We start from the raw sequence: 25,163 nt of genomic DNA on the forward strand, positions 1-25,163 counted from the left end.
TTCCTTCATCTTGACTTTAGATAATCTGATGACTATGTGCCTAGGTGATGATCTTTTTGCAATGAATTTCCCAGGTGTTCTTTGATCTTCTCGTATTTGGATGTCTACATCCCTAGACAAAAGATCTTCCTTCAGCAAGGCCAGGGAAGTTTTCCTCAATTATTCCTTCAGATATATTTTCCAAACTTTTAGATTTCTCTTCTTCCTCGAGAACACCAATTATTCTTAGGTTTGGTCATTTAACATAGTCCCAGACTTCTTGGAAGCTTTGTTCATTTTTTAAATTCTTTTTTCTTTGTCTTTGATGGATTAATTTGAAACCCATGTCTTCAAACTCTGAAGTTTCTTTCTTCTGTTTATTTGATTCTATTGCTGAGACGTTCCAGTACATTATGCATTTCTCTAAGTGTGTCCTTGATTTCCAGAAGTTGTGGTTGTTTTTTTATTTATGCTATCTATTTAACTGAAGAATTTTCCTTTCATATCCTGTATCATGTTTTTTATTTCCTTCAGTTGGACTTAACCTTTCTCTGGTGCCTCCTTGATTAGCTTAATAATCAACCTTCTAAAGTCTTTTTCTGGCAATTCAGAGATTTCATCTTGGTTTAGATCCATTGCTGGTGAGCTGGTATGATCTTTTCAGGGTGTTAAAGAACCTTGCTTTTCTGGTTCTCTCTTATTTGGGTAGACTATGTCAGAGGGAAGATCTGGGATTCATAGGCTGCTGTTCAGATTCTTTTGTCTCATGGTGTGCTTCCTTGGTGTGGTGTTCTCTCCCTTCCCCTATGAATGGGGCTTCCGGTAAGCTAAACTGTAGTGATTGTTTTTGCTCTTCTGGGTCTAGCCACCCAGCAAAGTTACCAGGCTCTGGGCTGGTACTGGCAAGAGTCTGCAAAGAGTCCTGTGATGTGATCTGTCTTCAGTTCTTGCAGCTGTGGATAACAGCACCTGCACCTGGTGGAGGCAGCAGGGGAGTGAAGTGGGCTCCGTGAAGGTCCTCTGTTGTGTTTTTATTTAGTGTGTTGGTTTTATGTTGGTTGGCCTCTAGCTAGGAGGTGGCACTTTCAAGAGTGCATCAGCTATGGTCCTATAGGGAGAATGCAAAGTTGCCCTCAGGACACCTGGTTATCTATTCAGGTTTCCCAAGCAGTGGGCAGGGCCACAGAGTTCCCAAGAGAATTGGGCCTTTGTCTTTGGCTACCAGGGCAGGTAGAGAAAGACCACCATGTAGGGGCAGGGATAGGCGCCTCTGAGCTCAGCCTCTCCTTGGGCGGGGCTTGCTGCAGCTGCTGTGGGGGATGGGGGTGTGGTTCTCAGTCCAATGGAGTTATGTTCCCAGGAGGATTATGGCTGCCTCTGCTAAGTCATACAGGTCACTAGGGAAGTGGGGGAAAGCTGGCAGTTACAGGCCTTAACCTGCTCCCACTCAGCCCGCAGTACTAGAGGTTAATCTCATGCCCACCGTGCCCCCAACAACAGCACTGAATCTATTTCCAGGCAGCCAGTGACCAGGGCTGAAAATTTGCCCCAGACCACAAGCCTCCCCATTGAGAAAGCAAGCGGACACACAGTTTTTTGGCATCCCAGGAAGCCTGAAGCCAAGAGTAGATTTTTAGTGTTCTTACAACAAAAAAAGATAAGTGTGTGAGGTAGTAAATATGTTAATTAGCTCAATTTAGCCATTCCACAATGTATACATATTTCAAAACATCATGCTGCACACCATAAATATATATAATTTTTATGTGCCAAATTAAAAAATATTTTTAAAGACATAGAAAATCTGAGTGGACCTATAACAACTAAAGAGATTGAATCAGCAATCAAAAACTTTCAACAACAAAGAGTCTAAGATGAGATGACTTCACTGAAGAATTCTACAAAGCATTTAAAGAACTAATACCAATTCTTCACAAACTCTTCAAAAAACAGAATGGAAGGGAACACTGCCAAACTATCAGGCCAGAATTATCCGATACCAAAAGCAGGCAAAGACATTATAAGAGAAGAAAACTCTTATATATTATATCTCTTATTAATATAGACACAAAAATCTTCACTAAATACAAACAAGTTGAATCCTGCAGCATAGTAAAATGATTACTCATTATTACCTGGTGGGATTTATTCCAGGAGTGCAAAGGTAATTGAACATATGAATATACATTGATGTAATATACCATATCAATATTATAATGGGCAAAACTGCATGATCATCTTAATAGATGTAGATGAAGCACATGACTCAATTCATGACTTAATGATTAGAACACTCTACAAACTAGGATTAGAAGGGAATTCCTCAACATAATAAAGGACACTTGTGAAAAAGTCATAGCTAATGCCATACTTAATGGTGAAAGACTAAATGCTTTCCCCCTAAGATAGGAATAAGACAAGGATGTGTGCTCTCACCACTTCTACTCAACATTGTACTGGAGGTTTGGGCCAAAACAATTAGGCAATAAGATAAAATAAAATAAAATAAAATAAAATAAAAAAGGCAGCTAGATTGGAAAGGAAAATGTATAGTTATTTCTATTTGCAGATGATATGGTCTTGTATAAAAAATCCTAAAGAGCCCACTAAAAAACTATTGAACTCATAAGTAGTTCAGCTAGGTTTAGGATAAAAGATCAATATACAAAAAAAGTTGTATTTTGCGATAGTAGCAATGGGCAAACTGAAAATAAAATTAAGAAAACAATTCCATTTATGATAACATCAAAAATAATAAAATACGTAGCAATCAATTTAACAAAAAATTGCAAAATATTCTGAAAGCTATAAAACCTTGTTGAAATAAATTAAAGCAGACGCAAATAAGTGGATCACGAATCAGAAGACTTAATATTGTTAAGACGGCAATATTCCTTAAACTGATCTACAGAGTCAATGCAATTCCTAGCATTCTAGCTGACTTCTTTGCAGAAGTTAAACAATTTATATGAAAATCCAAGAGACCCAGAATAGACAATCCCTAGTAGTAGAATCACACTTCTTGATTTCAAAACTTACTATAAAACTACGGTAATCAAAACAGTGTGTTACTGGCATAAAGATAGATGTGTAGGTCAATGGAATAGCATTGAGAGTCCACAAATAAACCCTCTTAATTACAGTAAATTGATTTTGATAAGGATTCTGAGATTAATCAATGGGGAAAAAATAGTTGTTCCACAAATGATGCTGGAACAACTGGCTATCCATGCAGATAGGAATCAATTTGGACCCCTAATTCACCCCTACAAAAATTTACTCAAAGTGGATCGTAGACTAACCGTGAGTGTATTAGTTCATCTCACACTGCTATAAAGAAATACCTGAGACTGGGTAACTTATAAAGAAAAGAGGTTTAGTTGGGTCACAATTCTGCAGGCTGTACAGGAAGGATTAGAGCATCTGCTAAGTTTCTGGGAAGGCCTTAGGAAATTTACACTCATACTGAAAGATGAAGGGGAAGCTGGCACTTCACATGGCCAGAGCCATTAAAAGAAAACAAGTGTAATGTTCACGACCTTGGATTTGGCAATAGTTTCTTAGATATGACACCAATTCAGAAGCAACAAAAGAATAAACTAGACATCACCAAAATTAAACACTTTAGTGGTTCAAAGGTAATTATCAAGACCTTGGATTTGGCAATGGTTTCTTAGATATGACACCAATTCAGAAGCAACAAAAGAACAAACTAGACATCACCAAAATTAAACACTTCAGTGCTTCAAAGATAATTATCAAGAAGTTAGAAAGACAACCCAAAGAATGAGAGAAATTGCTTGCAAATTGTATCTCTGATAAGGAACTTATATCTAGAATATATAAAGAATTCCTACAACTCAATAATCAGTAGACATATATCCCAGTTTTAAAAAGGGCTGAATACATATTTTGTTATATTATTTATTTCCAAATGAAAGATCTGAATAGATATTTTTCTGAAGAAGATGTGCAAATGGCCAACAAGCACCTAAAAAGAAGCCAAACATCACTGGTCCTCAGAGAAATGCAAATCAAAACCACAATGAGATTCCACTTCCTGCTCCCTAGGATGGCTATTGTATTGGTTTCCTATGACTGCTGTAACAATTACCACAATTAAAACAAGAGAGATGTATCCCCTCACATGCCCAAAATCAGCTTCGCTGGGTGGAAATCAAGGTGCTGACAGGGCTGTGTTCCCTCCTAAGGCCCTAAGAGAGAAATTTCCCCCTGCTTCTTCCAGCTCTTGATAGCTGCTGACACTCCTCGGCTGTGGCAATGTCATTCCATTCTTTTTTTCTGTAGTCACCTTGCCTCTACTCTTCTCTCTACAGGCAAATCCCCCTCTGCCTTCTTCTTAGCAACCATCCCTTTTAAGAACACACATGACTGCATTTAGGGCCCACCTGGATAATCCAGGATAGTCTCCCCCATCTCGATATTGTTAACTGAATCACGTCTGCATAGACCCTTTTCCCATACAAGGTAACATTCACAGGTTCTAGGGATAAGGACCTGGATATCTTTGGGGGTCATTATTCTACCTATGAGAGATATCACAGATGCTAAATAACAAGTGCTGGTGAGGATGTGGAGAAATTAGAACCCTCATACACTGTTAGCAGAAATGTAAATGGTGCAGCCACTGTGGAAAATAGTCTGGCAGTTCCTAGAATAGTTAAACATAGAGTTACCATGTGATACAGCAATTCCACACTTAGACATGTACCCAAGAGAAATGAAGACATGTCCACACAAAAATCTGTATACAAATGTTCACAGCAGAATTATTTGTAATAGCTCAAAAGTGGGAACAATCCAAATGTCCATCAACTGATGAACAGATACATAACATGTATTATATCCATATAACGAAATATTATTTAGCAATAAAAATACATGTGGATGAACTGCAAAAAACACATGCTTAAGTTAAAGAAGCCAATCTCAAAGGATCACATATTATATGATATTATTAATATGACATGTTCAGAATAGGCAAATCTACAGTCAGAAAGCAGATTAGTGTTGCCTAGGGATAGGGAGGAGGATGAGGTACTAGAAAGTGATGGCCGAGGGGCAAGGGGTTTCTTTTTCTAGTAATGAAAATGTTTTAAAATTCTAGAAATACCATTTGACCCAGCCATCCCATTACTGGGTATATACCCAAAGGATTATAAATCATGCTGCTATAAGGATACATGCACACGTATGTTTATTGTGGCACTATTCACAATAGCAAAGACTTGGAACCAACCCAAATGTCCAACAGTGATAGACTGGATTAAGAAAATGTGGCACATATACACCATGGAATACTATGCAGCCATAAAAAATGATGAGTTCATGTCCTTTGTAGGGACATGGATGAAACTGGAAACCATCATTCTCAGCAAACTATCGCGAGGACAAAAAACCAAACACTACATGTTCTCACTCATAGGTGGGAATTGAACAATGAGAACACATGGACACAGGAAGGGGAACATCACACACTGGGGCCTGTTGTGGGGTGGGGGGAGGGGGGAGGGATAGCATCAGGAGAAATACCTAATGTTAAATGACGAGTTGATGGGTGCAGCACACCAACATGGTACATGTGTATATATGTAGCAAACCTGCACATTGTGCACATGTACCCTAAAACTTAAAGTATAATTAAAAAAAAGGAAAAAAAAGAAAATGTTCTAAAATTGACTGTGGCAGTGAATGCACAACTCTGTAAATATACTAAAAAACATCTAATTGTACACTTCGAGTGGGTGAATTTTATAGTATGTGAATTGTATCTCAACAAAGCCATTACAAAAGTATATAGCCTAAACTGTCTAGCTACAAAATAGTGCTTGCTTATACAAACTGAATATATATTGCTAAGAACATAGACTGAAATCCAAGTGAAAGGACAGGCCTAGATTTCTGCATTGATTTATCTGTATGAGAGGAAGTGAAGACTTGAGCTCCCCAATGCCCGCAGTAGTAATCAGCCTCCAAAAAGCCCCTAAAATTCTCATCTGGCAATATTCACACTTGTTTAGACTCCTTCCAAATTACACCAGGGTTGGTTTCTGTGACCCATAGAATATGGCAGAAATTACAGTATGTCTCTTCTACAATTAAGTTACACGAGACTTTGTGGCTTCCATTTGAGTGTTTACACTTTAATTGGATAAAAGAAAATAAAATGAAATTGCAACTGTGGTATTTTAACTTCCTATTCCTTCATCTGCTTTCATTTTTTTATCTATTATTCGACTGTTCTGACCAGAAATTCTGATAAGCTAATCAAGAGACCTGACACTCTGTAATCCTTATCAGTGTAATTCACTGACAGCCATCTGGAAGGCTTTAACTTAAAAATTCCATCTACTAGATTACAATTGACATGTGGAAACCAATATAATAAAATAGTAAAACCAGCTCCTGTCATTACACACACATGCTTTTGTTGCTAAAATTATTGGGTTGTCTTGTATATTCTAAGGCTAATACATCTATTGTAATAAAAGGAGAAACTGTACTTTTAATGATATACTTTTTCCACGAAAGAAACCTGCAAACAGTTTGGGCGACTTTGGAGGTATATAAACTACTTACAGGTAGAAAAATGTCCTCTCTTTTCTCCTCTGTCCCACCCAAGTCATAAGATCGCGGTGATCTTACCATAAAACAGCTAAACAAACATGTTATTCAGAATAGAACAAATAGTATTCATGTCAATGATCACAATAACTCACGATGACAGTATTTAACTCATCAAGGAGTTCCTGGTAAAGAAATGCCTAGAAAGGTATAGTCTATACAATTTCAGCTATCTGTATGAATTTTTTTAAAAAGAAAAGGACAAATGTCCATTCACATTTGGTATTACGTGAATTCAGCCAAAGCCAGTGGACTTCTGAAAGCCTCAGTTTGTATTCTTTGCTCGCCTTCAGGTATGTGATCCAGTAACAATGAAGACAGTGAGTAATGAGTGGCCACAGAGAATTCCTTTTTAATAGATGGCTATGATGCAAATGTTGAAAGTAGATTCATTCTTTAATTCATTGGATAAATATTCATAAGCACCTAGTATCATGTATATGCCTCAAATTTTGGCTCCTCTCACATTTATTTCCAAATTTTAAGGCATGATAAGATATACTTGAGGACCTTTTCCTCAAAAACTTATCCTCATAAGTGTTATCCGTGGCTTGGGTCAATTTACATCACACATAGGTCTGAATGCATTTTTTTCTCCAAGGGGAGAATGATTAATCTTATGTTTTGTGGTCAAACCCCTCTGTAAAAAGCAGTTCACTTCTGTCCTCCCGCATAAATGAAGGATTTCAAAGACTTTTGTTGAACTCAATCTCTCTTTTATACAAATTGCTCTGAGTTTGTCAAATGAAAAGAAACTTCCAATTTTAGAAAAGAAACATACATATTTAGACATTAGGGAACTTATATAGAATAAGTAGGCTTGTTGTTTATAAAGAATAATTCACATTGTATATTATCCTGTGTTTTCTGTCAGGTACCTCCAAGTCTGTCACTGCATATGTTTTTAAATGATCATTGACTGAATGATGGCTTACTAGGCTTAAGCTTCACACAGATAGGGATCATGACTCTTTTGGTTTTTCTGAGATGGGGTCTCATTCTGTCACCCATGTAATCACAGCCAACTGCAGCCACAAACACCCAGACCCAAGTGATCTTCCCATCTCAGCCTCTCAAGTAGCTGGGATGACAGGGGCACACCACAAAGCCAAGCTATTTTTTAAAAAAATTTTTGTAGAGACAGGGTCTCACTATGTTGCCCAGGCTTGTCTCGAACTTCTGGGCTCAAACAATCCTCCTGTCTCACCCTCCCAGAGTGTTACGATTACAGGCATGAGCCACCATACCTGGCTAGGACCATGCTCTTAAGACAACTGTGTCCTTGATGCTTTCATGAGTTCCTGGTATATTTGATGTTTAAAAAAATTTTGGTTGAATGAGTAAATGAATGAAAGACCCTAAGAGAGATAATATTATGGAAGAGTGTCAATGATTTAGAAGGACTCATTCATAGTCTGGAATCAAGCCTATAGAAAATTTCAAAAATGAAGGTGAAAACTATAAATTCCTCTGAGGGAGCCATTCCTAGTGTCTTTCTAGCCAAGATGTGCCCCACCCTTGATTCTTGAACCTGAATATGTGGGTTCCTATGTGCAAATAAGCTGTTCTGAACTTGAGCCAGCATGAGGCACACTGCAAAGGCCATGCTATGACAGTGAGTCAGCCCTGAGTACACGACAGACTCACTGATTACAAGGTGGCCTGTCAGGCTTATCACAAAGAAAACAGTAGCATAGTGACTGTGTCTGTGTGAGTTCTGGCTACTTCTGCGTGGTTGCCTCTGATCACAGCACTGCCCTAGTTTTCTCACGCCTGTAATCTCAGCACTTTGGGAGGCTGAGGCAGGCAGATGACCTGAGGAGATTGAGACCAGCCTGTCCAAAATGGTGAAACCCCATCTCTACTAAAAATACAAAATTTAGCTGGGCATAGTGGCGGGCGCCTGTAATCCCAGCTACTCAGGAGGCTGAGTCATGAGAATCACTTGAACCCAAGAGGCAGAGGCTGCAGTGAGCCAAGATCACACCACTGTACTCCAGCCTGGGCAAAAAAGGAGACTCCATCTTAAAAAAAAAAAAAAAAGAAAAAAGAAAAAAACAAACTCAACTACTGGTTGAGACTAGTGTACCTTACTCAAAGTAATGCAGCCTGTTCATGAAATTCCCATTACAGATGGAAGGGTTAAGATCAAGTGGATCACCAGCCACAGCCACAAAGCTAAGGGGCAGAGGGGAGTTGGTGGGGGGGAAAAATAGAACTCTTGGAGATGATACTCAAGTAAAATTCATGGGTCACCTCCCTAGTGACGTTAAGTATTGGTAGTGTCATGCTCAAGCCTATACTCAATAAAGTGGTAACATTTTGGCAATGTATTTGGTGAGTGACTTTCAATCCTGTTTCTATTAAGATTTTAAAACATAGTAAGATAGAAGGAAACTTGAGGCAGAGTAATTTCTAGAAATATGGGTAAACTCATGTTTCTATTCTCTTTGTGTTAGATACCACTCCAGCTCAGCCAGTAAAATCCCCTCTATACATTTTGAATTACAATTTAAGATATGAGCAAAAAAGTAAAAAATTAAAAACAAAAACAACCTACCCACAACGTGTTCCATTTGTCATGTTCTGGTTGAGGGAACTGTTAGTCCATACAATGGTGTTATTCACACATGCTTTTCCTGGAATCTGGAGTTCTTGTAACTCAACGTCGTAGTCAATAAAAACATCTGTCATTGTGCCAAAAATGAGTAGCACGCCTGGCTGGGCTATTCCATGGAGAAATGCACACAAACTTCCCACAAACATCAGCCAAATGTCAGTTGATGAAGAAAACCGAAACTTGAAAAACAAAGGGTTCAGAGATCATCTATGGGTGAAGAGCAGGAGAGGTAGGAGGACTACTTAATTTAGTTACTAGATTCTCATGAATAGTACTCAACACCAAATTTCATGGGAATCACCTTAATTGAGTGGCAGAGTTCGTATACTAATTATATTGAAATAAACGGCACGGTACATCAATTATCTAAAACATTAGACTCTTACATTGTTAGATCATGTTATAAATTTCCTGCTCTCTGAATTCATTCTGTTTATTTCAGGAGCTGACTTTCGTTTTTAGCTACTCATCTACAACTTAGGGGAAAATAATCACTGTCATTGATGCCATTGCCAAGTAGATAAACTGTGTGGGGCATTGAGAAATACTATAAATTGTTTTGTTGAACTGATAGTGACTATGAAGAATGCCAATTTCTGCCTAGAAATGCCTCCATCCTGAGAAAATTTGGAGTAAACACCTATACTTTAAAATTTCTAAAGATTTGTCATAAGAATAAATATATATATGTGATTGTTGTGATGACTTTCCTTACAAATATGATAACCATGGGCTTAGTGATAATTTTCCAAGACATTTTTCTGATCTATTGGATAGGATTTGTATGCTTTATGAGCAATATATTTCTAATAGTTATTCAGCATGTTATCACATAGGCAAAGCCTATGACTGAAAAAGTGATCACTGAAGTTAAAAACCTGCCAATATGACTAAAGATTTAACACTCCCCTCATGATCTAAACAATTTATAGCTGCACACCCACTGCCATAAATCAACACAGTTTTATTACCAATTGAAAGAAGCCAACTCTAACGCCATCACCTTTCTTCTCATCTTGTAACCTGATGAGAAAAACATAAGGATTTAAAGACCACCCTTTCCAATACAATGGGAAATTCTCCCTAGGTGGTGATTTTATGAGTTATTCTTTAGTAAGAAAGAAAATCCCCACTGGCTGGAAAATTCTGGCCAAACCTAGTATCTTAAACACAAGCTTTATTCTTCTAGATTTCCCTCTTCTAGAGATTTCAGTATAGCTCAATCTCAGGTTCACTAGCGATTCACAGAGATGAACACCTGAGAGGTATGGAGAGAAAGTAAAAAGTCCTCTATACTCCCAGTTATACCAACAAATAACTCTTTGCCCTCAGTCATGACCCTCAATCTATTTGTGACTGCATTTCCTCATGGGTAAGTTGAAGTGGTTGGATTAGCTAATTTTAAAGCTTCCTCATGCTTAAAAATATTACAACTACATTAAATAATGTTGATAATGATGAAAAATTCAAGAACATGCCCACACTTTTCATAGAATCATATTTCCTTAATATTTCCCATTCATTTCATTTCCCATAAGGCCATGTTTAACCTGTATTTGACCTCTTCAACTTCGGGGATCTTGACTTAACCTGAGTCACGCAGTCCATGAATACACCCTGGACCTTGCTGTCACCAGGAACTACTGTCTGACATGTTTAACTCCTTGGCACTCTGTGACTGCCCATGTACCTCATTTTCTCGCTTCCTTCCTCCTTCCACACCTATTTGTCAACCTCACTTGAGCCATGCAGTCCTTTAAATCCTTCATTTCCTTCCATTGCTAAACCCCATTAAGATTTTGCTTCCTTCCCCATGCAGCCAAGGTCCCTCTGCCAGGCATTTGAACCACACTCTCACCATCATCCTCAATTATTTTCTCTACATCATCCTTGTAAACTTCATCCTGCATCCATCCAGCTGTTTGCCCTCTTCTCCTTAAGCCAGGCTGCTGGGCCTGCTGGACACAACCTCACCACCTTGTGAATGGATACCAACACAGGCAGAGTCTAGTACTCAGCTGCCCTAAGCTTCCCTTCTGGCCCAGAAAAGAATCCTAAATTTTTTCTGAGACTCCCCACGGTCTGGCCCTTGGCTCTCTGACCTCACCTCCTCCAACTATATTCTAGTTCTCAACACCCCACTTGCCTGGCCTCTTGCTGACCTTTGTCCATGCCCAACTGTTCCCACCTCTGGGTGCGGGCACCTGCTACTCCTTCTCCCCAGGTGCATTTTCTTTAGGTAACCACAGGGACAGCTCCATCACCTCCGCTAGACCTTCCTTTGAAATCACCTACTCAACAGAGTCTTGCCTGGCCAAAGTCTTTAAAATTTCAACCCCACCCCCCACGCACCATTTCATAGCTCCATTTCCAGTTTATTTTTCCTTCTCAGAAAGAAAGTGATAGATTATCACTAGCTACCATGCTATACATTTGATTTATTTACAATGTTTATTATATCTCCCTCACTAAAATGTAAACTCCTCAAGGGCCAACATTTTTGCCTATTTTGTTCTTTTCTATACCCGCAGCACCTACAATAGTGTCTGATACCAAATAGACACTCAATATTTGCAAAACGAATGAATTAATGGAGTGAATGTGTGCTCTCCAGCTCAACATGCAATGCACACTTCATTTCTCTGCGGATTGCTCCCATTCTTCTCAGCAGCTCTGGCAAAATTTGCTGTGATCTTCTCATTCCATGCTCACCTCCTCTAAAAACAAAGCAACTCATTCAACTTCCTACTCATCCTCTCCTTGCCATTCATCTACATCCACACCCATTTTTTAAACTTCCCACGCAATAAGAAACGTGTGGCTCTCAGAGGCCCAGGCTGACCTGACCACTCCCAGCCCAAAGCTAATCTTACCACTCCCACTTCCTCCCTCTGCTGTGAATTACTTAAAATTTCTAAAATACCTTTAACCCTTCCGTTTCCACCACCTCCACTTCAGGAACTTACCTGATGCCTCACTTCTGTCTTCTAAATTAGACCTCATCTAATCCCGCCTTCATACCAGACTGTGATTAGCTGATATGTGTTCTATATGAGAATTCAAAATCTTTAGCTGAACAGAAATATGCAATAATGACACTTTAGGTCTCTACTCTTTGCCTGTGGCAAGAATTTGGGGTTTAGAGACCTCTCCAATGCCCATGAAATTATACTTGTTGTTCAACTTTTCCTCCTCCCTCTTAGGTCAGGAGTTCTGTGCCATTCCTGAATACAGAGGGGACATTTGAACCTAACCTAGAAGGGATATTCCAAAAGGTTTTTAAAATCAAATTATAGTAATATTTTAAAGAGAAAAAGAATGGATTGTATATATTATTTTATATGAAGTGCAATGTGCATGAAAGTATTCTCTGCTTTGTGCCTTTGATATGAATATTATGGAGTTATTCTAGAAAAGATGCTGCATTGTTGAAATCAGTCACTTACCTTGATTTCTTATCATTATTATCTGTCAGAAAAAAAAATCAACGCAAAAAAGCAGTTAATAATAATGACAAAATGCAACGCAGTCATTAAGAAATTTGCTCTAGAAAAATATTCCTATAAATTACCTTTATTCATGGAATATTAGCAAATGACTATTTGCCTTTTCTTTCTTCCTGCTCATATTGTCTCTCTCTATCTTTCTACACACACACACACACACACACACACACACACACACACACACACGAAGACACTCGTTTAGGGTCCAGGAGTGCTGCTACCTTTACTCATTTATGGACTTTTCTTCAGGACATGAAATATTTGCATCATCTGAATATCAAATGGACAGCAACTTTTTGAACTACAAAATAAAATTGATATTTATTTATTGTCTGGTTCTTTAAAAGCATCAGAATTTATCTGTTTAAAATATAGACCACAAATTAACAATAAGATGTTAATAACAAGATGTCATTAACACTTCTACACTAGTAGAAGCCATAGGATTGAGACCACATACTGTTTTCCCCAGTGTAGGTCAGAATAGATGCAGGGCAGGAGGTGAAAGTCAGTGATTATAGCCAGGGGTGTAAGGAAGCCACTAGGGAGCTTTGTCATTCAACACTATCATGCCTGTTTACTCTTATTAAAGTAAAGAAGCATGATAATGTTGACAGACGGCAATATCTTGGGCTTGGGAATCAAACACAACTGGATTAGAATTATGGTTCCATTAATTTTACTCATGAGTTCCTTGCCAAGTTTCAAAAACATATCCAAGTCTCAGTTTTGTCATCTGTAAAATGTAAAATCATAGGGTTAGAAAACAATAGCTTAGAACCATCTGAGCCCAGGACATCCCAGGTGCTAGTGCTATAGGCCCCCTCCACATGATCTCATTCTGGTCTGCAGAGTCTGGGCACAGTTCTTCCTAAGGAGGAGCGCTCACTCAATTATGATTAATAATAACAATACAGGACTAAAGGTAGTCATAACAGCCACCACTGGAACAACCCTACTCTATCTAGGAAAGGTGTTGGTGAGAGATGCTTTCATTTACACACACTTGGTGTGTTCTTACCTAGTGCTTTCAGATATTACGTTACATGGATTCTAGGGAGAGCCACACAGTTGTGTATAAGAATCACACACAATGATACTTCTACCTACTGTTGCTGATTTTTTTCTGCTCCTTGAAACTTGACCAGCTTGTCCTACTTTTGTTCTCACCTCTCCTTGTACAAGATGCAGTGAGGGAAAAAAGCCACTCACATGATTTATCTGACTCAAAACCATCATTCTCCTCTCCAAATTTCTTTATACTTCGAAGAATTACTGAGTCAGACATGGTAATTGCAACCCACAGCCAACGACCCTATAAAATAAAATAAAAGAATCATTGCAATTATTATCTCTTCTTTCTTCTTTAATCAAAGTAGCCAAACGAAAGAACAATTTGGTTCAAGAAATAATCTTTACTAATCAATCTCAGACAAAAGTTTTAAAATCGGTTAATAACTCCCTGAAAGAGCCTAATTATCAGGAAAGATAAGCCACAGTCATTGATAAAGGTTTTCTCTAGTTGTTACATGGATGGTTGTTTTTTATAGCTTAATTATAGGAAAGATAAAGCAAAACCATTGATAAATTTTCCTCTAGTTGTTGGATGGATGGTTATTCTTTCTGCTTATCTGTGCTTTATTTATTTTTAATGAGAAAACATTAAAACCATGAGAAAGGCAAACCAACTGGTGATATTCTTGAGTCACTGTAGTTGATGAACGACACCCACATACTGTTGGGTAACCTTCAGTGTTCCTTTGTAAATGCAACCTCAAGGTAAGGTGAGTCAAGCTTGGATCAAAGGAACAGAAGGAAGACATTTTCTAAATAAAATGTAAATGTCGACAGAGTCATGATTAGTCTTATTCACAGTGGAAAAATTAGTTTATAGAGGGTACAGGCTGAGAATTCCAGGATATAGACACTCGATTCAGCATGAAGTTTATGCTTCACTAACTTTCTCTGCTTCAAATATATAGCAATGGTGGATAACATGTTTTTAAAAAGAGATACAGTCAGACTCAAATAAATAAAAATAAACATCTTCAGGAACCAGAAATGGCAGAGAAGTACCGAAGAGTAAGCAGAGCACAGAAGCAGCTGGTATTTTCCCCTCAGCGTCTGGATGCTGACGAGTGTGAGAGTTTAGCTGGCGAGAGGACTGTAAGTGCCCCAAATCAAACAGGGGGCTAGAGACCATCTCTTCGCTTGGAGCCAGAGGAGCTAATGTGGGCCCCATGCACTGCTGAGAAGACCCTGAGGAAACTGCTGGCCACCATTGAAGCATCTATTCCTTATGATGAAATGCAGACCCATGGAGGTCACAGGAGGAGACCGTGATATGTATTACATACATATATACACACATGTACAAATAAAAGAGAGAAAGGGGGAGTTATGAAAATCTTCTAAATTCACCTAATTGGAATCCCAGAAGCAGAGAGTGGAGAATGACAGAAGTGTAATAATTAAAGAGATAATTGCTAAGAATTTTCCAGAAGCAATTACCTGATTCTTCAAATTAACAGTAGACACCAAGAATTGATTGGAATAGATATCAGTCAAAACTTAGATACATTATATAGAAATGTCCCTCAGTATATGCAGGAGATTGGTTCTAGCACTCCCATGTATACCAAAATTTGCATATACCAAAATCCAGGTATACACAAGTCCTACAGTTGGCTTGCAGAACTTGTGCATAGGAAAAATTGGCTCTACATATCCACTGGTTTTGCATCCTGAGAATACTATATTTTTCATCTGAGATTGGTTGAAAACAATCCCCATACAAGTGGACCTCCACAGTTGCAACCTGTGTTGTTCAAGAATCAAACTGTAGTAAAGCATCAAGAATAAACAAAATCCATCCTAAACACTGTGAAAGGGGAAAATGCATATTCAAATATAAAGAACAGACTGACAGAAGTTTTCTCATCAGCAATAGAGGCTAGAAAACAGTGGCGTAATGTCTTCAAAGTGATGAGAAAAAAAAGTAATCTTTAACTTAGAATTTTACACTGAGCCAAAAAATTATTCAGCATCTTTACAGACATTCAAAGTCAGAGGGTTTACACTTACAGACCTGCATAAAACAACAACTAGAGGATGTGCCTTAGCCAGAAGGAGTATCCAGAAGGGAGCCATGAAAGAGAGAAACAAGGGTGAGCACAAGAGTTAACAAAATATGTCAGGACGGCCAATCAAATATTGATACCAAGTATAACCTTTTATATTTCAAAAGAACATAATTAAAACTCTACACAGTATGTAGATATGAGTGTAACTTGAACACAAGATAAGGTGTTCGATATGCAGATAAAGTATGTTAAGTTCATTGTTATGACAATCTGAGGACATTGTTTTATAATTATAATTAAATACATATTTATACAACTATAATTAAATATATGTTTGATTAAACCAAAGGAAATTGCCAATATTTAACCATTTTTTAATTACAAAGTTCAACTAATATCTGAACAAAGTTCAACCAATATCTGAAAATTTTAAGAAAAAGCAATGAAAAAGTACCAGTAAAATCTATAGTTTCTAAATAAGCAAAGGATTAAAAACTAAGTATGTAGAAAATGTCATCAATCCAACAAAAGTTAAAAAAAACTAAAGAAACTAAAAAAAGCATAACAAACAGAAAACATAAATGAATATTATTGAAAATAGTCCAAACGGTTCAGTAATTACGGTAAATGTATGTAGATTGAAGTACTGATACATGCTACACAGATGAACCTCAAAATCATGCTACGTGAAAGAAGACGGTCTCAAAAGACCACATACTGTATGATTCCATTTACATGAAATGTCCAAGATAGGCAAATCTATAGGGACAGAAAATAAATAAGTGGTTGCCTAATGCTGGGGTAGGGGTAGGGGTGGGAGGGGAATGAGGAGTGACTGGTAACAGATATAAGGTTTCTTTTGGGGATGAAGAAAATGTTCTAAAGTTAGATTATGGTGATGGTCGCACAACTCTGTTAATATATTGAAAACCATTGAATACTTTACATAGGTGAACTCTGTGATATGTAAATTATACCCTCAAAAGGCTGTTTTTTAAAAAAAGACAGGTCAGTTTATTGAATTTTTTAAAGTCAAGACATACACTTTTTTTTTTTTTCTGAGACCAAGTCTTGCTCTGTTGCCCAGGCTGGAGTACAGTGGCTCAATCTTGGCTCACTGCAACCTCCACCTCTTGGGTTCATGTGATTCTCCTGCCTCAGCCTCCTGAGTAGCTGGGATTACGGGTATGAGCCACCATGCCTGGATCATTTTTGTATTTTTAGTAGAGATGGAGTTTCACCATATTGGCCAGGCTGGTCTCAAACTCCTGGCCTCTGATTATCTGTCTGCCTTAGCCTCCCAAAGTGCTGAGATTACAGGCATGAGCCACCACACCCAGCCAATCCAGACATATACTTATTATAAATGAAATAATTTATAAAATCATAAAAATGGTCCAAAATTAAAGGGTGAAAAGGATACGTCATGCAAATACTGATGTCTCAAAGCTGTTATGTTAATGTCAGAAAAATAGAATCCATGTTCAAAACAATAATGGATATAATAAAGGACATATAATAATTAAAAGTACAATCCAGCTAGAAGACAAATCAATTATTGGATTGTATATACCCAGCAACCTAACACAACATAGCCTGCAACTGTAATGAAAAATTTAAACACAACTTTATTAGAAACTGATAAACAGACAAAAAATTAGAAAACATAAAAGCTTTTCAAATAAAAAATAAGTAATTTTATGTAATTTACTACATAAAATTTTTCTTAAAATTTGGTTGAACATTGTTCATATATTAGTTGAACTTTCTAAGTAAAAAAAGATTAAATGTTGGCAATTTCATTTGATTTAATCAAATATATATTTAATTATAATTGTAACACAATGTCGATAGATTTTCATGACAAATTTCATTACTATGGAACCTGCAACCAAGACATTTTTCAATTACATTTGGCATTTTTATAAAACTTACCCATTAATAAGCCATAAAAAATTTCTACAAATGAAAAACTATGTATTTCTCTATATTGTTGTTATTCTTAAGGGTGTATATTCTGACAATGCAATTAAATAAAAACTAAAAAATTAAACACTAGTAAAACACACACACATATACTCAGTAAAATTGTGTGTGTTACAAACTTTAAAATACATATGCAGATAAATATGGGTTAAGGATGAAATCATGACAGAAATAGAAAATATTTAAAATATGGTGATAAATATGTAAAATCTTGTGGGCTACAGCTAAAAAGATACTTCAAGATTTATTTATAAAGATAAATGCATTTTGCTTTTAAGAGATTAATGAATGAATTATGTTCTAATCAAGAACCTAAAAAATGCAAGATTTATAAGATAGAAAACAAAATAAAATGAAAAACAGTAGAAAGGATATATCAATTCAAAAGTTGTTTTTTGAAAACTAAAAACATGCAAGTCAATAAGACTGTTGAAGAAAAGAGATATAAATCACAAATACTAATTGAAAATGGGAAAGGTAAAATAAATAAAGTTTTAAATCATAAGCAAATACTAAGTAATTTCATGGTAGTAAATTTGAAAACCAGGTTAAGATTAATTTTCTAGAAAAATATGAGTTATCAAAATTTGTTTATAAAGGAATAGAAAACTTAAAAAGTAATGGCTATTAAAATATTGATTCAATATTCAAAAGTCTCCCACCTCAAAAAACAACAGGGCTAGATAATGTTACAGGCAAATTTTACCAAAACTTCAAACAGTAGATAATTCTAATCTTATATAAATAGTTTTGGTGAAAAGAAAAATAAGAAAAGCTACCCAAATCATTTTATAAAGCAAGTATAATTTTGACATCAAAACAAAGAAGGATAAAAATAGGCTTATAATTACTTCTGAAAACAGATTTTAAAATGATAAATAAAATATGTTAAACATAATTCAGCAGTTTATGAAAAAAATGAAGCAATGTTGATCCCAGGAATGCAATGATTATTTAAGGTAAAAAATAATTAATCATTTTCATAAATGCAAAAAGTATTCAGTAAAAATCATTATCCATTCCTGTTTTGAAAACCTATAAAATTAAAAAAAAATCATTATTTTGCAACCCTAATGAATAAATTTGGGGTAATGATCAGCAGTGAATACTAAAACTATTCATTGAAATATTGGCAAAGATGAAATATCCAGTAGTACAAAGTGTTGTTAAGATGTGGAGGAAAGAGTCCTTTCATGCACAGCTAATGAGAATATAAATTGACTGAATGACTTTGGATAGCAATTTGGAAATATCTAGCAAGGCTAAACATGTTAATACCCCAGATCCCAGAATATCCTTCTCTGGTATTTTCCTCAACAATTTAAAAAATAATTAACAATGAAATGGCATTTAATACGTGGCAGGCACTGTTCTAAATGCTTTATACATGCTATGCCATAAAACCTCCCAACAGCCTCCTGAGATGGGTATTATGACTATCCCCGTTTTCCAGATAAGGGCACTAAAGTATGAAGGACTAAGTCACAAGCTCAAGAGCACAAGTTAGTAAGTGATACAGCCGAGATTGAAACTCAGAAAATGCATGCAGAGATATGTGTAAGCTTGTTTATTGCAGTACTTCTTTGGAAACAAAAAGCTAGGAGAAAATACAAATGAACAAGAGATTGATTCAATAATCTATAGAATAGACACACAGTGGAATATTATCTAGCCATTAAAATCAATGAATTGGCATGGATAAATCTCAACAAACGTAAGTTTAAACAAACAAGACAAAGTTTCAGAATGATACTGTATGATACCATTTATGTAAATTGTGTTACCTGCAAATCACTATTTGTAATGTTCGTAGATATATAGATACGCAGTAGAAATATAAAGACTTACCTGAAACTGATAAGCACTGAATTAACGATAGTGGTTACCTCTGAGGAAAAGAAGTGGAATGAGACTGGGGAGGGGCTCAGAGGGCCCCTGAACTGTATCTGCATGTTTTAATTTCTTAAAACAAAAAGTTCCAGCAAGTATGGCATAGGGTTTAAGATACGATAAAGTTGGAAGGAGGTAACTTGGTGTTCATTAAGTTTTTCTCTTTTTTTTCCTGTGGCTTTAAAATATTTCATGATATGGATACAGGGAGCACAGGGAGGGGAACAACACACACTGGGGCCTATTGGGGGAGGGCAGTGGGGAGAGCATTAGGAAAAATAGCTAACGCATGCCGGGCTTAATACCTAGGTGATGGATTGATAGGTGCAGCAAACCACCATGGCACACGTTTACCTATGTAACAAACCTGCACATCTGGCATGTGTACCCCAGAACTTAAAATAAAATAAAATAAAACTTAAAAAAGAACATATGGAAAGCTGGATAATGCCACAAAAGGGTTAATGTTAGCAAGCTTGGGATGGAGGCACTATGCACCATCATCATGTATTTTTCCATCTTAAGCAGCATACCACTCCTAAATAAAACAAAATCATTTTGCAGAAAATAAAACACTTCATGACAGAAAATAATTTTTTTCTTAACCCTGGTGAATCTCTTTTAATTAAACAAATTAGAGCAGTTTTGATTTTATAGAAAAATTGTGAAGATGGTACAAAATTCCCATGTACCCCACACCCAGTTATTAATGTCTTACATTATTAGTATTAATGTCTTACATTAGTATTAACGTACCAATGTGCACTGTAAATGTCTTGCATTAGTATTAATGAACCAATATTGATACATTATTATTAGCTAGAGTGCATAATTTATTCAAATTCCCTTATTTTTCACCTAATTCCTTTTCTGTTCCAGGATTCCATCTAGGATACCAAGTTTATAATGTTATATTAAGTTGTCATATCTTGTTAAGCAACTCTTGGCTATGACAATTTCTCATACTTTCCTTGTTTTTAATGACCTTGGCAGTTTTGAGGAGTACTCATCACTTATTTTGTAGAATGTCCCTTAATAGCATATTAAGAAGTAGAGTAAGAAATATTATTTAATTAAGTAGTTTATGAGGCTGGTTTAAAATATACTAAAGGAACCAGATTCAAAGTTATTTTATTCAAGAACAAAATTTGCTCACTATAGCAGTATTATATTCAGAGACTGTAACATTTGCCGGTTACACAATTTTTGAAGTTTTAACCAAATTTTTTTTTCAAAAAAACAGAGAGACTCTTTAATAATGAGAAAATAATAAACAACATTTAACCACAGATGTGTTATTGCATTTCCTAATTTTAAAATACAATATTAAAAAAATTTAGTCTCCATTTATTTTTTCCCTTGGCTTAGCTCTCCATTTAAAAAGATTTCTTTCCACTGGTGTGCAAATACCTCGTAGTATTTAGAGGACAGTGGTGTAGTGTCTTGCCCACGAAATTTGGAGTCTCTCAGATCCTGATACACCTGTTGCTTCACTCTACGTAGTTGGATTTATTTTAAAATCTCTCTCCACGTCCTGATTTCTCCATCTTTCATGTCAGGAAGTGGTGGTGATGGTGGTAAAATCCACCTTGCAGGACTGGTGTGAAGATGAAATGAAACTGTATCTCTACAGCAGCCAGCAAAAGGGAGATAGCAGCTGAAGTTCCCTTTGCCCTTCAAGCTTAAAGACCGAGTCCTCCCTACCTGATCCTCCACCCCATCTGCCCTTCCAGGGTCATTTGTAGTAATCTGTCCTCCATTAAGCACAGGAATACTAATCCACTAACCTATTCTCTTTACTTTCCTTCTGTGTCCCCTTGTCAATTCCATACATTAGGTTTCAATTGCTTACATTTTGCTTCTTTCCGAATACCCCTACAAATAGTTTTTGTGGTTTCTATTTTACTGTTAAAAGTTACATTCTAAAAGGCAAAAATCCATTAAATCATGCGTCTCTATGCCCACAGCATTGTCAATGCCCCTCAGTCAGTGAGCACCAAGAATACATCTGTAGCTAAACAAGTCGTGTTTGCTACTCATTGCACCAAGGGTGAACACACTGTCAGGGGCTGTGGGGCATCTCAGTAAAATGGTGTTAGAAAGAACCTGTTACAGAACTCGGGCTTTAGTCAGATGATTTGGGGAAGGATCTAATGTAGTGGGTATTTGTTCTAAATTGGATGCTGTTAAAAAGCTGGGACTATGTTATGACTAGATAAAGAAATAACAGCCATTCATTTAGCAAGGTGTTTGGTATTTTGTGGGTTGCACAGTGACCTTGATTTTGCCTTTGCTGAGAACAAAGTATAAATTGACCTTGCATTGACTCAAAGTAACTTTGAGGTTGGTACTCTGTGAGATTGTTTATGTCTAATAAGAGAATAACATGGCTTAGGTGTGAGTACCAGGCCAGCTATGAAATGGAACAGGGTGTTCTTTTGTTTGTTTTCTTTGTTTGTTTTCTTTCTCAGCATCAAGTGCATCACTCTGAACTTTGGTAGTCCACTGTTCTTTTTTGACATGCCAAGGAGCTATACTTCAAAAGATGTATACTCTCTAGGGCTAAAGGCATGCACTGGTTGTTCAGTCAGAAATGGAAGCTAGTCCCTTTATCTTTGGGCAGCTTAGAAACGGCTGTGATGATTTTTGAAGGCCATTGTGCTGAAAATCTTAATTACTTGCATGTACCCACAAAAACACTGGGAATTTTATAACACTAAGTTTGGGAAAGTACACTGAAAAACCGAAATTTCTAGAAAGAATGAAGGCCTTGCCTGTGATATTTGCCACAAAAGAGGTTTTCAGAATTGAATATTAGATGAATTGCCATGTATCATTATGAATGTAGAATATATATCTGATATATATTATTAGACCATGTTTTCTTCCACTGGCAAATTATTTTTTTTATCAGATGAGATGTTGGGAAACCCATACATCAGATGCTGGAGGACATGGCTGCCAGTCTCTGAAACCCTGGAAATGCAGTGGGAATCTAGTTTTTGGTGATAAACATATTTGTTTTGCAGGTTCTTGAGAGTGTACCTCCTCCTCATTTGGCACTTTCTATGATTTAAGAGTACCATGGTGTTTTGCCACATTATTTTTCCTCACTGATTACAAGTAGATATAATGTCACCTAGTTCTACTGTCTCGGCCATTAGCTGTAACACTTTTTTAGCACCTAACCTAATAACTTGATTTGAGTTTCATACATTGAAGGAGGCTTTAATTAGGGTTTCTTAACAAATTTACAATAACAAAATTTTACTTAAACTAACACAAGAAAACTCAGAGTTGAAAATAACATCCAATGCTATTTCATTTTTACTGTGCACTTTAACATATTAAATTATTTTAACCTCCCCAAAATCTCTTCAGGAACAGACTGAGAATTTTCAAGGCATTCCAGAAAAATGTATTTTCCAATAAACTTAAGGGAATCTAAGAGTAAAAAGCAGGAAATCGAGATGTCTAAGCACTAGTTGGCAGACTTTGGACACCTAATCATAGAATCCCCCAAGAATTCTTAATTGTCCACACCAACTCCAGTGTTCCTCTCTGCTAAGTGACATGTGGTCTATAACCTGCACACTATATGCGCTTCTGTTTAACTATTCAGGGTTGAAGTTTTCTCTTGATAAAATGTGTAATCTTATCAACACAGATACGCACATTAGAGAACAGTCTCCTGACAATTACTGGTAAAAACATATCAAAGATGTTTCTATCTTACACTCTAACAACAGCATTCTGAAAGACCTCACTGCTGGGGAGGAGGGGATGGGGAAGAGAGACCATCAGCTAGATGGTCACTTGAGAGAACCTAGTACTTTGACTGACCTTAAAAATGGGCCTGAATGAGTAGTACCACAAAGGTCCTGAGGCTGTCAAAATTGGAGGAGATACAGGGTTCTACAAGCCATGCCAGAAAGAAATCAAAGATCCTGAGAGCATAAAATGTCAGTGCCCACTACTTGCCACTACAGCAAGGCTGCTAGTGTGAACTGGTGGGGATGTCAGCCTGGAGCAACAGATGGACAGGCTGATCTTCACCAATGGCTGGGATCAATACTAGCAATTGGCTATTGGTATTGTAGAAGAATTGAAGAAAAAAAAAGGGTCAGGGTTGAGAAAAGGTGTCTCCAGAGCTGAATCCTTCTGGGCTGAAAGATACCATTACCATCCTATTTTATAAATACAGTTTTATGGGAACACAGTCATACCCTTTCATTTTCTATTATCTTTGGCTGCTTCTGTGCTACAGTGACAGAATGTATGGCCCTTTCTCTCTCCCATACCTAAAATATTCACTATACAGCTCTTTGCAGAAAATGTCAATCCCTGTACTGTGAGATCAGTTCAGGGCAGCCTGAGGCCCAGGAAGAAATCTCTGAGGACCTGATTTACCTACCCTAAAAATTGTGTGGAGCACCAGCCCTCCAGCCAGCCCTACCCTCATGGAACTTACAATGTGGCAGGGAAGGCAGACATTATCTGGGAAATTAGGCGTCAAGCAGGATGGCAGTGAGGAAAGGGGAAATACAGGCATCTCCTGGGCCCTGATGCAGAGGAGCTGCCTTGTCTAGAGAGCTGGAGAAGGCTCTGGAGCAAGTGCTTAGCATGAGATGTTGAAGATGAGAGCAAGTTTTCCATGGGAAGAGGAGAGGGAAGAGCAGTCCAGGCAGGGAAGGACACATGCAAAGGCCCAGATGCAAGAGACAGGGCAGCCGGGTCCAAGGCTGAAGGAGCCCAGTGAATCTCAGGGAGGCGGATGGGCAACTCGGGAGGATGTGGCTGGTTGATCCTTCAGGGCCTCATGATCCTTACCACTGAGAACTTGGGACCTTATCCTAAAGGCCATGGGAAGCTAATGAAGTCTTTTAGGCAAGAAAGGATATGATCAAATTTATACTTAAAAAAAGTTACCCTGATAAGGCTTGGGACTTGGAGCCCACACCCACAGAGGTTAGGAAATGGGTTTGAGAAGAATAGAGATCCCACCAGACCAAGAGGCAGAGATGGCTCTGTCTGTGTTCTAGGGTTTTGCATTTTCTCTGCAGAGATTTGTTCCACTTTCCATTTAATTTCCACCCAAATGCTATTTTTTGAAACATGTTGACCTTTTCTAGACTTAATTAAGGAAAAAGAGCTTTTTCCACATTCAGGCCAAGATGGTAAGAAGAATCTAAATGTCCTCAAAGCCATTGAGGAGCTGAGGACAGTGAGGGGAACCAAGCCAGGCCCGGGAGTGGAGAGCACCCGCCCCCACCATGCCCCACATCACACTGTGAATATTCTGATCATGTGAGGGTCCCTCCACGGCTTTTCTCTTGTGAAGTCTTGCCCTCTGTAAAGACTTTCAAGACCCCAGCGCCACAAACTCCCCCTTCACAGAGCTGCTCAGAGAGAACAGAACTGCCCCTGCTCCTCTTCAATTTGGATGTCCTTTCT

The 25,163-nt window shown here is 37.4% G+C and overlaps 1 protein-coding gene across 5 annotated transcripts in view; it reads right to left on the bottom strand.

Annotated features, from left to right (window-relative positions):
- ABCB11 (ATP binding cassette subfamily B member 11) overlaps positions 1–25,163 on the bottom strand; it is a 115,935-nt gene that overhangs the window by 88,698 nt on the left and 2,074 nt on the right. For 3 of the 5 annotated variants that reach the window (XM_017005165.2, XM_011512078.3, XM_011512080.3), the window contains exons 2-5: positions 13,861–14,065; positions 12,691–12,712; positions 10,216–10,267; positions 9,185–9,423 (exon numbers count right to left, since the gene is read on the bottom strand). In XM_017005165.2, the coding sequence (XP_016860654.1) occupies positions 9,185–9,423; positions 10,216–10,267; positions 12,691–12,712; positions 13,861–14,038 (491 nt within the window). In that variant the 5' untranslated portion in view covers positions 14,039–14,065. The remainder of the gene's footprint in view (positions 1–9,184; positions 9,424–10,215; positions 10,268–12,690; positions 12,713–13,860; positions 14,066–25,163) is intronic. The other 2 variants (NM_003742.4, XM_006712817.4) reach the window with 2 other exon arrangements.

This window comes from Homo sapiens, chromosome 2 (genome assembly GCF_000001405.40).
Source record: "Homo sapiens chromosome 2, GRCh38.p14 Primary Assembly".
NCBI classification, from domain to species: Eukaryota; Metazoa; Chordata; class Mammalia; order Primates; family Hominidae; genus Homo; species Homo sapiens.